We start from the raw sequence: 15610 nt of genomic DNA, 5'->3' as shown, positions 1-15610 counted from the left end.
CAACGGCCCCCGCCCGCGCCCCGCCCATTCCGTCTCGTCTCCTGGCAACGGCCCCGCCTCTTCCGGCCCCATGCCCTTGTCCGGGCCACTGCCCCGCACCCCCCCCGCCATGCTGGGCTCGACCCCGGCCCCGCGCGGCCTCCACGCCTGGCTGGACGCGCTCCCGCTCAGCCACCCACGCGCCGCCTGGCCCGGGACCTCAGCTATGGCGGTGGGCGCGCGTCCGCGAAGTCGTGGAGTCCGAGGGGCCCCCGCGGCAGGGGCCTGCGCCCTCGGCCCAGGAGAAGCGGCGAATGGCCCGCGGCGCCCCTCCCGGTTGCTCGCTGACCCCCCCGCCCAAGAGTCTGGGGCTGCGAACCCCGCTTCGCCTTTGCTGCATCCGACTCAGCCTTTCAGATCTGTAGGATCCGGGACTCCAGTGTCCGACTACAGGGCGGGGCTCACGGCCCACACGCGCCGCAGTACCCCGCCCGATGCGCACGTTCCCTCTGGGCACCCCCTGGGAGCGTCCCCGTGGTGCCAGGCTGGCGCGCTGGCCTCTGAGGAGGTGGCTTCTGCTCTAGGCACCTGAGCAGCAAGTCTGAGTGGGCGCCCACGGGGCGGAGGCTGTTAGACGCATCTGGTGCTGCACCGAGGAGGCCTGACGTCCCCTGTGGCCAAGCCCCCACACCCATGGGTGCTGCCTCCGGGTGGCTCCTCCGAGGCAGAGCCCTGAGCTGATAGCGCCCATTCGTCTCGCAGGCCTGCCACGCCCCCAGCTCCCTTCAGCACGAAGAATGAGAGCGTTCTGGAGGGGACAGGCCACTGCACTTGCAGAGGGTGGGTTCCTGTCTCTCAAGCCCATACCTCCCTTCCTCCCGATCTCCCCAGCCTCCGCCGCCCACCCCATTTCCTCGACAGTTGGATTCAAGGCTGGTGTCTACCTTGTAGTGGGGACCCAGCCGCCGGGCGCCAGAGCACCCAGACCCCGGAGTCCAGCAGCTACTGGAGGACAAGGAGCAGGCGCTGTCCTTTCCGCAGGAGACAGTCAGGGTGCAGGCGACCTGGCACCCTTGTTGCCGGGACACCCTGTGGCTGAAGGACTGGGAAACAGGGCCTGTGCGGAGCCTTGCAGAGAGGGCATGGCCTTCATTTTCTCCAGCCCTCCCCAAAATGCAGACATTTGCTGAGTACCTGTGGGCACCAGCTCTTATCACCTGGCGGTGCTGGCTGGCAAGTCTGCCTGGCTGCCCTCCAGCCAGAGCCGAGCCCCTTCTCCCATCCCCAAATGCACAGAAGACAGCCAGAGAGCCAGGGTCCTGGGCAGCACCTGCCCAGCCCAAGACTCCACATGAGCACTTAGATATGCAGTGCACACCTGGCTCTCTGCACACACCTGGTTCTCAACAGACACCTGGCTCTCCATGCACACCTGCTCTCAGTGCACACGCGGCTCTGCAGTGTACACCTGACTCTCTGCACACCTGACTCAGTGCACACCCGGCTCTGCAGCGCACACCTGACTCTCTCTGCACACCTGGTTCTCAGTGCACACCCGGCTCTGCAGCGCACACCTGACTCTCTCTGCACACCTGGTTCTCAGTGCACACCCGGCTCTGCAGCGCACACCTGACTCTGCACACTTGGTTCTCAGTGCACACCTGGCTCTCTCTGCAGACCTGATTCTCCGTGCACACCTGGTTCTCAGTGCACACCTGGCTCTCTCTGCAGACCTGATTCTCCGTGCACACCTGGCTCTCTCTGCACACCTGGTTCTCAGCGCACACCTGCTCTCAGTGCACACGCGGCTCTGCAGTGTACACCTGGCTCTCCGTGCACACCTGGTTCTCAGCGCATACCCAGCTCTGTGGTGTAAACCAGGCTTGACAGGCTCTGTGGACCCATGCCTGGCTCTGCAGGTGCACACCTGGCTCTTTCACCAGGGGTCTCCAGTTTTCCTGCGTGCAGGAAGCCCCTTGCCATACCTGCCTCCCCCAGCTCCAGCCATCAGGACCCTTAAGGGATGCTGGATGGGAGCCCGGACTCCACACAGACGTTCACTCCAGGCCTGCTGGGCAGTGCACGGCCACATCCGGAAGAATCCCTCTCACCCCAGGCACCTGCCTCGGGCACAGTGGCCACAGGAGAGGCCTGCTGACCGCCTCCTAAACCTTCCTATACTGGAAGCACAGACTCAGCCAGTCTCCAGCAGCAAACAACGTGACCCACTGTGGAAAAGCTGAGCTGCCTCAAAGGACGTTTCCCAGGTGAAGCCCAGGAATGACGGCCACATATGGGCAGAGCTGGGTGGCAAGGGGCAGGCCTGTGCTCAGTAGACTCAGCCGGACCAGGGCCCCCATGTGGACCCAACGCCACTCGCCGGTCATCCCAACAGTGTCTCTCGCTCAGAGACAAACTCCAAAGGCCAGGGGGTCTCTGCTGACTCTTCCAGGGCATCCATCTGACCCCATGCTGTGCAACAACTAAGCCAGGGCCCTCCGTGGAGTCGCCTTAAACTGCAGCTTGAGCTGCTTTCCCTCTGGGTGTCATGATGCAGCTGTGATTCTTGCTGCCACACGTGGATCATGGAGGCCGTGACTGGGAAGCCAGCAGCTTCACTTCCTGCCACCACTCCCTCTCTGCCAGGCTGCGGTCAATCTGAAGCCACAAAATGACGTCACTTTCCTGCTTTCTCCAGAAAACAGCTCATCCAGATCTGGGCACCCGCTCAGGAACCGCGATGTCGACATCATCTCCAAGAGCCCCTTCAACCCCGAGGCCCCTTGGGCACAGCCTGCACACCTGCCCCACACACTCTGTCCTGTGTCCCGGGCCCCTGTCTTGAGGTTCTGCCCTCCCCGGTGCCCCTGGGCCGAGGGCTTAGTCCCCTGCGGGGTCTCAGGAAGGAACTTCAGGGCCACAAACCTCAGGAGGGTTCCAAAGCCGCCTCAGGAGGCAAGGCGAAGGCAGCTGAAAGCAGCCGCTTCCTCCCTGAGCCAGAAGGCAAGGCCCCCTCCCCCTGCACGGCCAGCTGCTGCACCGCCCTGCAGGGGCACTGAGGCACAGCCCTCTCCACCCAGTGTCCCTGCAGTGCATAGGCTGAGAGGGCGGCTTCCCAAAGACTGGCCTGGTCAGGTGTGGTCAGCTACCCGGGGCCGCCTGTTCCCAGAGCCCCTCTCGAAGCCAGGCCAGGGCTGCCTCTAGGAAGGGGCCATTCCCAGGGGAGCAGCCCCTCAGTGCCACAGTGGGCTGGGGAGGGCCACGGCGGGTGCCAGCCCCCAGGGTCCGCCGCTTCCCCGCTGTCAGGGGGACTCGGTCCTGGCTCAGGAGTCCGGGTCATGCTGGGTCATGCACGTGGCAGGCTGCAAGCGGTGCTCCTGGAATCAGGAGACTCAGGTTTTCTGGAGTCACTGCAGTGACCCCTCAGAGACAGGGCTCCCACAGCACAGATTTCAGCAGGTCCTGCAGCTGGGGCTGGGCAGGAAGTGCTGGGGAAGGGCCTGGCCGAGAAGCCCGAGCCAACCCAGGCCTAGGCAGCTTCTGTCAGGAGCTGTGGCAGTGCCAGACCCTGCCCTGCCACCCCGGGTGGTGACAGCACAGGCCACCGCTCAGCTCCAGGTGCCCCCACAGGCTCATGCACACACAAACAGGGCTGCCTGCCACCTGCGAGGAACCTGCTCTCTCCAGGGACTCAGAAACAGGCGCCAGGCCAGAGACACACCACAGCCAGAAAGGCAGGTATCAGGAGCCAGCGGGTGCTTGGTGCCTGGAGGCCACACCCCAGACACCCACAGGCAGGGCCGGCTCACCCGCCGGAAGACAGGCCCAGGAGGCCCTCTGCAGGGTCCCCAGGATGACCAGGGCCCTGGTGGCATGAGGCTGGTGGAGGGTGTTGAAGCCAGGAACCCTCTCGATGGAGTATGGACCCCATCCTGGCTGGAGGAGAGGTTGTCAGGGCGGGGCTGGCCCTTGGGAGGCACCACAACCCCTGTGCAGGGTACCCCAACCGGGGAGAAGCCACCAGGCCACGCTGGAGTGGGAGCCAGGACCTCAGCGCCAGGTCCCCACCGCGTCTGCCGTGCCCACCCCTAGAGGGTGCTGAATCCTGGCCCCTCCCAGCTCTGGGTGTGTGGTGGGGAGGAGCTGCTTCTCTCCGTCCTCACCCGGCCTTGCCCTCGGCCAGCAAAGACCGCAGAGGAGAGTGAGACCCTTGGGAGCTCCCTGGGCTCAGGGGTTCTGAGTGCCTGTGCTGGGACCTTGGACGGCCAAGACACCGCTTGACTTCCACCTTCTGTCCTCTGGCGCCCGCCTGCACCTGGTCCTCTGCCTGCCCACGCGGCCAGCTAGAAAGCGCGCGCCCTCCAGTGGGAAGGAGAGCAAGGAGTAAAACGTCCCGCCAGGGAGTGGGGAGTGTCAGGAAATTAGGAGGAAGTGTCGGGGCTGCGGCTTGCCGGGATGTAGGAGCACAGGCCCTGGGGCAGAGGAGGGGCGGGGGGAGCCGTGAGAGGCCCGGAGGGAGCAGGGGAGGTGGAGAGGAGCTTTCCCCAGTGGAGCTGGCAGGAAGAGTCCCAGGTGCAAGGAGCGCATTTTAGAATTCCAGGACTCGGGAGGAAACCTGCAGGATGAGGGCTCCCCTTGGGGGCGGCCTGCATTTCTCAGCGGGAAGGTGGGTGTGGGTGCCCCTCACATCACCTGGCGTTTATTTTTGCATGTGTGAAATATAACAACAATTTCCTAGGGGAAAACACCCTAGGGTGCACAAAAGTTGTAAAAATGGGAACATATGGTCCGAAACTCACTGCTGAATAATGTGCTGTCATGAAATTTACTTCAAAAACCCCCTCACGGAGTACAATCTTGGGTAGATGAAGGAGAAAAAAAGTAAAAATGAATTTAAAAATCTCTTAAAGCTTCTGTTTTTTGTTTTTTATTTTTGAGACAGATCTGGCTCTGCTGCCCAGGCCGGAGAACAGCTCACTGCAGCTGGAGCCGTTCTCCCACCTCAGCCTCCGGCACGTGCCACCACGCCCAGCTAATTCTTTTCTTTTCCTTTTTTTTTTTTTTTTTTTTTGAGACAGGGGTCTCACTCTGTTGCCCAGACTAGAGTGTAGTGGCACAATCTCAGCTCACTGCAACCTCCACCTCCTGGGTTGAAACGATTCTCCTGCCTCAGCCTCCCAAGTAGCTGAGATTACAGGCGCCCGCCACCACGCCCGGCTAATTTTTGTATTTTAGTAGAGACGGGGTTTCACCATATTGGCCAGGCTGCTCTCAAACTCCTGACCTCAGGTGATCCGCCCGCCTCTACCTCCCAAACTGTTGGGATTACAGGCGTCAGCCACTGCGCCTTGCGTAATTCTTTTCATTTTTTGTAGCAATGGGGGTCTCACTGTGTTGCCCAGGCTGGTCTTGAACTCCTGGGCTCAAGTGATCCTCCTGCCTCTGCTTCCCACAGTGCTGGGATTACAGGTGTGAGCCACTGCGCCTGGCCAGCTTCTTTAGATCAAGCTGTAAATAACTTCAAATAGTAAATTAGTAGAGCAGACACGACTGACTAAAATTATTAGCAATGAAAGCACAAAGGAGTAAGCAGGGGAGGCCACCCTGAGCACGTCTGGACGGCTCGCGTGGGGAGTCCACGCTCAGAGCACCCCACAGGTGTGCAGGAACCGGCATGATCCACAGTGATCGCCTTTGGTGGCAAAACTTATTTCTTTTCTGCAGTACTCACAATTCTCCATCATAACAATGTGTCGTTTTACAAGCAGGAATAAATGAAAACAATGGCTGTTCAAAGCTTGCTGGAGAGAGGCGGCGGCAAAGCTCTGCTGCTCCCCGTGTTTCTGGAATCTGTTGACAATTGTATCTGCGCTTCTCACAGATTCTGAGAAGGACACGTATGTTTAACAAATATATATAACTTCCTCAGAGAGCCACTGAAGGCCAGGTGCGGTGGCTCATGCCTGTAAACCCAGCACTTTGAGAGGCCGAGGTGGGCGGATCACCTGAGCTCAGGAGTTCACGACCAGCCTGGGCAACACAGCCAAATCCCGTCTCTACAAAAAATACAAAACTTGGCCCGGCATGGTGCCCGTAGTCCCCTCTACTTGGGAGGCTGAGGTGGGAGGATCGCTTGGGCCTGGGAGGTGGAGGCTGCAGTGAGTCGAGATTGCACCCCTGTACTCCAGCCTGGGCCACAGAGTGAGACCCTGAAATAAAGAAAAGCTGTGGACGTGGCTGAATCGTGTGCACCGCTGACCCCCAGCATGTGGGCCTCACCCACCATCCACGCGACGCCCTCGCCAGGAAAAACAGAGCCATGTGACCGGGGAGGGTTGATGGGGGTGTCCAGAGGCCAGAGTGCCCTGGCAGGGTGGCCCCCACCCCATCTGTCCCTGGAGGTCTTTGTCTCCTTCTGTGCTGAACTCCACCCTCCAACAGCTCCCCGTGGCTGCCCAAGCAGGGGTGGCGGGGTGTCAAGGAGGGTGGGCGGCGGGACCGCGGGGCAGAGGGGCTGTGCATCCTGGGTAATCCCACCCTCGCCCTGGGTGGCCACCAAGCGGTGCCGGCAGCTGGACCTGGGTGCGGAGTGTGGAGCCGAGTTCACCTGCCTTTTTGTGGCTCCCAGAGGAACACGCAGAGACCCAACTGAGGCCAGCCTAACTGGGGCTGCTGAGGGTCAGCCCCGGCATCGGCTCGGGGCACCAAGGACCCAAGGAGACTGAGCAGGGACTGCAGCCGCTCAGCGGGGGTTGGAGGTGGCAGAGCCCTCCTCAGCCTGGGGGAGCTCAGCCCTGTCCTCAGTGAGAAAGACCCCCAGCCCCTGGCAGCGGACGGCAGTGACCACACAAGGGCTTGAGACCTGGGACTGGGACCTGGGCCGAGTGTGGGGTCCAGACCCAGGTGGTGGAGAAAGGGGTAGGCTCTGCAAGTGTGTGTGTGTGCATGTAGTGTGCTTTGTATGAGTGTGGGGTGTGTGTGTGTAGTACTAAACACATCATGTGACGTGTATATGTGTGTGGTGTGTGTCTACATGTGGTGTGGTGTGTGGGGTATGTATATATGTGGTGTGTACATGTGTGGTGTGTACAGGTGGGATGTGTATATATATGTGGTGTGCACATGTGTGGTGTGTGGGGTGTGTATTTGTGGTGTGTATGTGTGTGGTGTGTAGGTGTGTGGTGTGTGGGGTGTGTATATATATGTGTAGTGTGTACATGTGTGGTGTGTGTGTTGGGTGGCACGTGTGCACATGAGACACGGGGTCCAGCCCGGTGGCCCCAGCTCCTGGCCAGGCAATCCCAGGGGACAAAGGCTCCTGGACAAAATGGCTTTGGCCCCTTCCGCCCGCCGTGGCCTTGGAGGGCAGAGGAAAGTTCTCATGGCCCAGCGAGTGCTCCTGATATGTGGGTGTGCACAGGAGAAGAGAAAGAAAATATCAAGAAGCCGTGATTATCTCCTCTGAGGGAGTCACAGACACGCAGCCTTGAAACGCCAGCCCTGAGCTTAGGGCAGGGCTCTCCCAGGGCCGGGGATTAACTCTTTGCTTCCCTCTCCCTCCGGGGCTGGGGGCTGCCTATGGTGGCTCAGCTGAGCCCCTGGCCCACCAGCCCCTTGAGACCATCCCAGACCCTGCCAGGAGCCAGGCGGTGATCAGCCTCTGGGCACAGGCCCAGCCCTCCATCTCCCCTACAGCCGGCCTGGAGCACAGATTCCAGGGCCTGGCTCCCAAGGGGACATCCCATGGGGTCCCAGAGCCTCAGGAGCCTCAGGGCCCGGTCACTCAGCTGCACTGCCCTCCACACATGATCTGGGGCAGCCCCAGCACGCCTCAGGTCCTCAGTCTGACCTGGATCCCGGGAGCCCCCTGAAGACAGACGAACCGACCTGGGTCCTGGTCACTGCTCCAAGCTCATGCCCTCTCCATAAACTCGGTGTGGGGCCACCAGACGTAGCAAGTAAAAATTCAGGACACACAATTAATTCAAATTTCAGTGAAACAATGAAAACTTACAGTGTGAATGCATCCTAAATATTTCATGGGACATATTTATCCTAAGAAATGGTCCGTGTTCTTCCGAGACGCACATCTGACCCTGGGCCCCGTGTTATTCTGACCAGGGCATCCCAGGGTCAGCCGACCACCGCAGAGCGGGCACCCCCACGGCTCCGCCGCACAGCCCCAAGTTTTATTTCTATTTTATTTATTTTTTGCGGAATAAACAGTCTCAAGTGCACAAGCCCAGGGCTCTGGCAAATGCGTCCAGTGCGTAACTACCTCATCCTCAGGCCACGGAACATTCTACCGGGGGGGCCCTGTCACCCCACGTGGTTTGGCCTGCTCTGGGGAGGCCCGAGACCCTGTGTGTCTGCTTCTTTCTTGTACAGTCATCATGATTTTTTATCCATTTCTGTGTGGATGAAGGAGACTTGGGGACTTGGAGTGGTTCCTGTTTGAAGACCTTCTCCTTCTCCTTCTCCTTCTCTTCTTCTTCTTTTTTTTTTTATATGGAGTTTCACTCTTGTTACCCAGACTGGAGTGCAATGGCGCAATCCCGGCTCACCGCAACCTCTGTCTCCCGGTTTCAAGCGATTCTCCTGCCCCAGCCTCCCGAGTAGCTGGGATTACAGGTGCCCACTACCACGCCTGGCTAATTTTGTATTTTTAGTAGAGACGGGGTTTCTCCATGTTGGTCAGGCTGTCAGGCTGGTCTCGAACTCCCGACCTCAGGTGATCTGCCTGCCTCAGACTCCCAAAGTGCTGGGATTACAGGCGTGAGCCACCATGCCCAGCCTTCTTTTTTTTTTTTTGAGACAGGGCCTCGCTCTGTCACCCAGGCTGGAGTGCCTTGGACCATCACAGCTCACTGCAGCCTCGAACTCCTGGGTCAGATGATCCTCCCGCCTCAGAGTCTCGCATAGTTGGGACCACAGGTGCATCCACCACACACAACTAGTTTATTTTTTAATTTTTTGTAGAGACAAGGTCTCACCATGTTTCCCAGGCTGGTCTCAAACTCCTGGGCTCAATCAATCCTCCTGCCTCAGGCTCCCAAAGTGTTGGGATTACAGGCGTGAGCCACCCACCGCACCCGTCCCAGAATGTTCTTATTGAAGTCTTTCTGGGGACGGATGATTTCATTCCTCTTTGTAAATGCTTAGGAGTGGAATTGCCAGGTCACACGGTGGACACAGGTTTCATTTGTAAGACTCTGTCCATCTCCGAGGGAACTCTATTTCCAGCACCTCCTTTGACAGGTGGGGAAACTGAGTCCAGGAGCGGTCAGCTTTGCTCTAGGCCTCGGCTGCTTCTCTGGGGTAGCCATTGACATCGCCCGGCCTGCAACTCAGGGGTCGGTGGGACCAGCACATAACCTGAGGGAAGTGCTGACTCCCGGGACACTGGACCTATGGGGTGGGGGCTGCAGGGCAGGGTCAGGAGCAGAGTGGGACAGGGTGCAGGGCAGGACAGGGTGCAGAGAGGGATGGGGTACAGGGCAGGACGGGGTGCAGGGCAGGACGGGGTGCAGGGAGAGCTGGGGTGCAGGGAGGGATAGGGTGCAGGGCGGGCCGGGGTGCAGGGTGGGCTGGGGTGCAGGGTGGGGCGGGGTGCAGGGCGGGCTGGGGTGCAGGGAGGGATGGGGTGCAGGGCGGGCCGGGGTGCAGAGCGGGGCACGGTGGGGTGCAGGGTGGGATAGGGCAAGATGAGGTGTGGGGCAGGACGGGCTGCTGGGCAGGGTTGGGCCCAGCCTCAGGGTGTGGCCAGTGTAGACTGAGGTCTCCACATGCGATGCAGGAGGAGCAGGCCACCCTCTTTGGGAACTTCAGCAGGGAGAGTCCACCAAGGGTTAACAGTGGGCTGCCTTTGGCCAGAGACAGCTGCAGGGACACCCCCGCCACCCGCCTCCACCGGGCCCCACAAGGAATGGAATGGAGGGAGTGGAGCCGCCTGAAGGCCACCCGTTATCACCGCCAGCTCCGTGCCAAGCACGTCTGCCAGACCCACAGAGATCCTTTCTGTTTCTGGTGGAGGGAGGGAGGGTGGCCGGTGTGTTTGGTGTGGAGGGGCTGCTATTGGGGTCTGAGGCACCCAGGGAGTGTCTGGACCCACAGCAGGGCCCCTGCCCAGGTGGTCATCCTGACCCCTGCTGATGGGGGAAGGACCAGGACACAGTCCCCGGCTGGTGCTGGCTGGACTGCTGAGGCCTTCTCGGGGTTGGCGGTGCAGCAGGAGGCCCCGGGATGGTGGGAAGGATGCCCGGGTGGGGCTCCTCTGCTTTCAGGCCCTTCCACCCCTACTCTGCAAATCTCCGGCAGGAGGTCCCCAGGATGGGTGGGAGCCAGGCTGTGCGGCCTCCAGTGGGTGAGGTGGGTCCCTGTCCTCCTGCTCACAGGCTGGGTTTCATTCAAAGCACTGGGGAGCCACAGGGAGCTCGGGACGGGGGCAGGTGTGTGGGGTGTGCCTGTCGGGAAGCCTGGGGTCCACCTGCGGGTGGTCCCTCGGCCCTCAGGGGCTGGGGTTTGCTCTGAGTCCCTCCCGTCACCTCACAGAATCCCCTGAGGGGTCTCAGGACCTCCAGGGCTCGTAGCCAGGATGGCCAGGCGACACTGACACCTGGTCCCTCGGCTGCCGCCCCTCTGACCAGTTCCACCCGGCAGCCCGAGCCCAAGACAGCACAAGACAGAGAGACAGAGACAGCGGGGAAGCAGGGAGACAGAGACAGAGAGACACACACAGAGAGACAGAGACAGCAGGGAGGCTCTGGGCTATTCTAGGGCATCGCCCAGTCCCTCACTTGGTTTCCCTAACTTTTTTCTGGATTATAAACCCACACCTGCTGATCAGGAAGACTTTCATCATCCACACGGGTTTAAAGGGGCTTCCAGGGACCGGAGGGTCGGGCTGCGCACAGGTGTGAGGACGGCCACCCTCTGCCCACTGCCTGGCCCACAGCCTTCTGTGGCTCCTTGAGGCCTAGGGGGAAACAGAGGGGGGTCTGGGCCCCCACCCAGTTGTCACCCCAGCTCCCAGGCTCCAGCCGATGGGGCCAGCAGGAAGACGGGCCCTGGGCTCCTCCACCTGCAGAGGCAGCAGAGGGTGGCCGTCCCCACACCTGTGCGCAGCCCGACCCTCCGGTCCCTGGAAGCCCCTTTAAACCCGTGTGGATGATGAAAGTCTTCCTGATCAGCAGGTGTGGGTTTATAATCCAGAAAAAAGTTAGGGAAACCAAGTGAGGGACTGGGCGATGCCCTAGAATAGCCCAGAGCCTCCCTGCTGTCTCTGTCTCTCTGTGTGTGTCTCTCTGTCTCTGTCTCCCTGCTTCCCCGCTGTCTCTGTCTCTCTGTATGTGTCTCTCTGTGTGTGTCTGTCTGTCTCCCTGCTCTTTCTCTCTGTATGTGTCTCTCTGTCTCTGCCTCTCTGTCTCCCCACTGTCTCTGTGTCTCTGTCTCTATCTCCCTACTCTCTGTCTCCCCACTGTCTCTGTCTCTTTGTTTGTCTCTTTGTCTCTGTGTCTTTGTCTCTCGGTCTCTGTCTCCCCACTGTGTCTCTCTATCTCTGTCCGTGTCTCTCTCTCTTTGTCTCTCTGTGTCTGTCTCTCTCTCTGTCTCCCCACTGTCTCTGTCTCTTGGTCTCTGTTTCCCCACTGTCTCTGTCTCTGTCCCTCTATGTCTGTGTCTCTCTCTGTGTCTGCTGATCTCTCTCTCTCTGTCTCTGTCTGTGTCTCTCTCTGTGTCTGCCTCTCTCTCTCTCTCTGACTCTGTCTGTGTCTCTCTCTGTGTCTGTTGGTCTCTCTGTCTCTGTCTCTCTGGCCCTCTGCCTGTCTCCTCCTTCCCTCTTGCAGAACCGAGGTCAGGAGCCCAAGGTCAGGGTTTGCATTATGTGTTTCCCAGAAGCCTCGCCGGGCAGCTGTAAACGGGGAGAAACGGGGAGAAACAACGGGGAGAAACAGGGAGGGCTGATGCTGGGCGGAGGCCCAGGATGGGGGGCTCTGCAGGGGCCTTTTGAGCCCAGGCCCCCGAAGTGTGATGCTGGGGCTCTCTGTGTAGGTTCTAGGTGTCTGGAGGAGTGGGGCCCCTCCCCTGCTAGCCCCCCAAGGACTCTTCCTCGGATCCTCGGACCTCATGGAGGTGGGGGACCATGGGCGTGTGTGAGTGAGGGTAAGCATAAGTGTGTGAATTGTGCATGCGTGTGCGGATGTGAGCGTGCCTGCAGGAGTGAGTGTGGGTGAGCCTGAGTGTGTGAATTGTGCATGCACGTGTGTGTGGATGTGAGCATGCCTGCAGGAGTGTGCGTGAGCCTGAGTGTGAGCATGCGTGTGTCTGAGCTCCACGTTCCCTCCTCCCCCAGAAGGCAACCCTCAGCCTGCCAGCAGGTGGATGGAGCCCAGCAGCCCCCCGTGCCCACTCTGGGCCTCGTTGTGGGGGACCAGCCCTGAGCAGGGCCTGTCCCCAGCCCCATGTCCCCACCAGGAGGGCTTGTGACCGACTGATGTGCTCCCCCCCACCCCTCTGTGGCCATCGCTGGTCGTGACAATCACCTGCTTGGCCTGGCGTGCAGATCAACGGTTTGCACAAGGTGGGGGCAGAGGCTGCTCCCATGGGGGGTCTGCAGAGTGGCCTGGCAGGTGGCTGGGTCATCATCCATCGTCCATCATCCCCATGGTCCCTATGGCTCCTCCTGCCCAGCAGGGCCCACTCGTCCTTCCCCAGACGGGGCTCCTGGCCGCCTCGGGGGCCATCAGGAGGGCGCTGGACAGTCTTGCAGCCCCACCTGGCCCCTCATGCCCCCCACGCCCCTCCCCACTCAGGGGACAGGAGACTCTCGCGTACAACAGTCAAGGCCCGCTGCACCTGGGGGGTGTGTGGGTCCATTGTGTGCGTGTCTGTGTGTGTCTCTGTGTACATCTGTGTCTCTGTGTGTCTACATGTCTGAGTGTGTCTCTGTCTACATGTCTGTGTCTCTGTGTGTGTCTATGTGTGTCTGTGTGTGTCTCTGTGTGTGTCTATGTGAGTCTATATGTGTCTACGTGTGTCTATGGGGGTCTCTGTGTGTCCCTGCCGCATGTGGGTGCTGCGTCGGGTCAGTCCTGAGACTCTGGCCCTACAGATCACAGGTGCTGGGGCCAGGCGCCCGCACGGGCCTGCCTAGCGACGTTGAGTCTCCCCGAGGACATGGTCACTGAAGAGGCCTCTGAGGCCTCAGCCTTGTTCCTTCACCAGCCTCCACTTGCCTACGTCCTGGGGAGAGACCGCTGGCTGGGGTTCAGAAGCCCTGTCCCTGGCCACCTGTGGAAGCCCTGTGCCCTGGCCTCCTCTGGGCCTCTTCCTTGTGTCCTGAGCCTGGGACACAGGGACAGCCCCAGACCTGCAGGAGTTCTGCTGCCTGCCTGGGCCCTTCGGCCGGGGGCTCCCTGGCCCTAGGAGAGGGTGTCTGCCTGCCTGTGTGGTCTCGCTCTGTGTGGGCAGCTGTGGGTCTGGCCAGCTGTCCCTGAGGGGCCCTCTCCCTCCGACCCTGCACTCTTGCCCCCAAGGCTGCAGAGCGTGGCCCCTCTCCACGTGCTCGCGGGCTCTGTGGCCCGGGGAAGGCTCTGGGCCTCACTGGACCAGTGTCCGCCTGATGCCGTGAATCCTCAGGGAGCCCCAGCTGTGGAGGCCGCCCCAGGCCAAGCAGGGCCACCTACCCTGGGGGTGGGGTCTGGTTCCCAGTGGCCAGGACAGTGTTGGACACGCTGGCTGGGGGTTCTGAGAGTCCCTGTGAGCCAGGAGGCTGCGGGTGCAGCCCAAGGTGCTGCTTATTGCTGAGCTGGGCAGGCCCAGGAAGGAGAGTCGGCCCCTTCCCTGGACAAGCGATTCTTGCTCACGTGTGCTTTCCGGGCCCCTGACGCAAGCAGAAGCGCGTGGGGAGATAAGGGTTGGAGGAGGCGGGGGGACAGGCTGGCCCCATCCCAGCTCCCGGGCCAGCAGCCCCCGGCCCACAGCCCTCGCCGCCCGCCCGCCCGGCGGGCCCTGGCTCAGCACTCTTCTCACAGCAGGTCTTTGTGCCCCAATCTGGCAGGTGCGGGGGTGCGACGGGGTCCTTGGCACAGAGCAGCCCTCTGGTTGCATGTGACAGCGGCGGCCAAGGTCTCCCCTGCGCATAAATGTGGAGCTCGCTCGGCAGCAGCAGAACTCCCGGCTCAGAGAGTTCTCCACCGCTCCTCCCAGGCTCACGAGGCTCACGGGCTACCCAGCGCCAGCGGCCCAGGAGGCTGGACCACAGGTAAGACGAGGCCCAAGGCCTGCCTCTGGGAACTCGGCCCTGGCTTGGCTCTGCCCTCCTCACTCCCACAGGATCTCCGTGCCCACCAGGCCTCAGTCCCGACTTCTCCCTGCTGCCCGGCACGGGACCCTCCCCCAGGACAGCCACCTCCCAGTGCTGAAGAGCCGGCCCGCCTCAGAGCCGCCCGCCGTTCCTTTTTCCTATGCATATACTTCTTTGAGGATCTGGCCTAAAGAGGTATAGGGCATGGGAAAACGGGGCGGTCGGGTCCTCCCCAGCGGCACCTGCACCAGTGCACCTGCACCTGCTCCAGCAGCACCTGCCTCCTGACTTGGGACTCCACCTGCTTCCTTTCTCCTCGGCCGGGAGCCCCGGGGCTTTGACCCCCACATCCTTGGGGCAGAAAGGGGCCAAATATTCTAAAACAAGGGAAACGTGGATGTGTGCTTTTGTGTGGGTTCTGGAAGTGTCTGGGGAGGACGTGGTCCAGGCCTCTGCCCTGGGTTGATCTCTGCAGCCCCTGAGCTGGGACCCAGGATGCAGAGAGGAGGGCTGGAGCTGGGCGGTGCTCTGTGACCAGTCTGACCGGAGTTGGGGGTGGACCCATTACAGGAGGTGGCGGGAGGGACAACCTGGGCTCTGGGGCCGCCTGGTGGTCGGGGGAAGTGGGGCGGGGTGCCTGGGATCTGGGCTCTGGCTGGGAGGATCCACAACTCATTCTTTGGACATTTTCTTTGCAGACTACGAAGCTGCACCGTGTGGGGCCCACTTTTTATACAAGCGGGTGGCGGTGGATCCAGGCGCAGACGGGAGTGAGGCGTGGCGGAGACGCGTGCACGCTGGGTCTGTGCACTTTTGCTGCTGCTGCTTTTTTTTTTTTTTTTTTTTTTTGAGATGGAGTCTCGTTCTGTCACCCAGGCTGGAGTGCAGTGGCGCGATCTCGGCTCACTACAACCTCTGTCTCCCGGGTTTAAGCGACTTTCCTGTCTCAGCCTCCCAAGTAGCTGAAACGACAGGCGCCTGCCACCATACCCGGCTAATTTTTTTATTTTTAGTAGAGATAGGGTTTCACCTTGTTAGGCTGGTCTTGAACTCCTGACCTCATGATCCACCTCACTCGGCCTCCCAAAGTGCTGGGATTACAGGCGTGAGCCACAGCGCCCGGCTGGCTGTTGCTTCTTAACACCTTTATTACTTTTGTAATCATGGGTATGAGTTGATTTTCTGGTCAGAAATTTCAGTAGAGCTAATTTCATTTAAATGTGTGAGATGTGGTAAAGTTTTGACAATAAATACAAATTTTGACAAAGCAGCTCTGTCGTGCTGGTCTCCTCTCGTTCACGGTGGTTGGACGTCACATTAGTCACGTGT

At 60.6% G+C, this 15610-nt stretch overlaps 1 long non-coding RNA gene and 1 other non-coding gene across 3 annotated transcripts, besides 6 other annotated features; both read left to right on the top strand.

Annotated features, from left to right (window-relative positions):
* Positions 23-352: a silencer, noted in NCBI's record as "silent region_2971". NCBI's record gives its function as "represses an Ori minimal core promoter by ATAC-STARR-seq in GM12878 lymphoblastoid cells {active_cell/tissue: GM12878}" and the evidence as "EXISTENCE:reporter gene assay evidence [ECO:0000049][PMID:35858748]".
* Positions 2645-2694: an enhancer, noted in NCBI's record as "active region_4239". NCBI's record gives its function as "activates an Ori minimal core promoter by ATAC-STARR-seq in GM12878 lymphoblastoid cells {active_cell/tissue: GM12878}" and the evidence as "EXISTENCE:reporter gene assay evidence [ECO:0000049][PMID:35858748]".
* Positions 3693-3992: an enhancer, noted in NCBI's record as "active region_4238". NCBI's record gives its function as "activates an Ori minimal core promoter by ATAC-STARR-seq in GM12878 lymphoblastoid cells {active_cell/tissue: GM12878}" and the evidence as "EXISTENCE:reporter gene assay evidence [ECO:0000049][PMID:35858748]".
* Positions 13223-13737: an enhancer, noted in NCBI's record as "H3K27ac-H3K4me1 hESC enhancer chr10:135061797-135062311 (GRCh37/hg19 assembly coordinates)". NCBI's record gives its function as "activates a minimal SCP1, AML or CMV promoter by ChIP-STARR-seq in naive H9 embryonic stem cells {active_cell/tissue: H9 hESC(naive)}" and the evidence as "EXISTENCE:reporter gene assay evidence [ECO:0000049][PMID:30033119]".
* Positions 14145-15551, top strand: MIR202HG (MIR202 host gene). Of its 2 annotated transcripts, NR_108078.1 has the most exons (3): positions 14145-14239; positions 14329-14476; positions 14980-15551. It is a non-coding gene; the product is annotated as an MIR202 host gene (long non-coding RNA). The 2 variants fall into 2 exon arrangements; NR_108079.1 differs by lacking the exon at positions 14329-14476.
* Positions 14254-14768: an enhancer, noted in NCBI's record as "H3K27ac-H3K4me1 hESC enhancer chr10:135060766-135061280 (GRCh37/hg19 assembly coordinates)". NCBI's record gives its function as "activates a minimal SCP1, AML or CMV promoter by ChIP-STARR-seq in primed H9 embryonic stem cells {active_cell/tissue: H9 hESC(primed)}" and the evidence as "EXISTENCE:reporter gene assay evidence [ECO:0000049][PMID:30033119]".
* On the top strand, positions 14410-14519 carry MIR202 (microRNA 202). The gene has a single exon (NR_030170.1). It is a non-coding gene; the product is annotated as a microRNA 202 (primary transcript).
* Positions 14854-14973: a silencer, noted in NCBI's record as "silent region_2970". NCBI's record gives its function as "represses an Ori minimal core promoter by ATAC-STARR-seq in GM12878 lymphoblastoid cells {active_cell/tissue: GM12878}" and the evidence as "EXISTENCE:reporter gene assay evidence [ECO:0000049][PMID:35858748]".
* Positions 15552-15610: the final 59 nt, after the last annotated feature.

The sequence above is a fragment of the Homo sapiens genome, chromosome 10, assembly GCF_000001405.40.
Source record: "Homo sapiens chromosome 10, GRCh38.p14 Primary Assembly".
NCBI classification, from domain to species: domain Eukaryota; kingdom Metazoa; phylum Chordata; class Mammalia; order Primates; family Hominidae; genus Homo; species Homo sapiens.
This window is presented reverse-complemented; position numbering and strand designations above follow the sequence as displayed.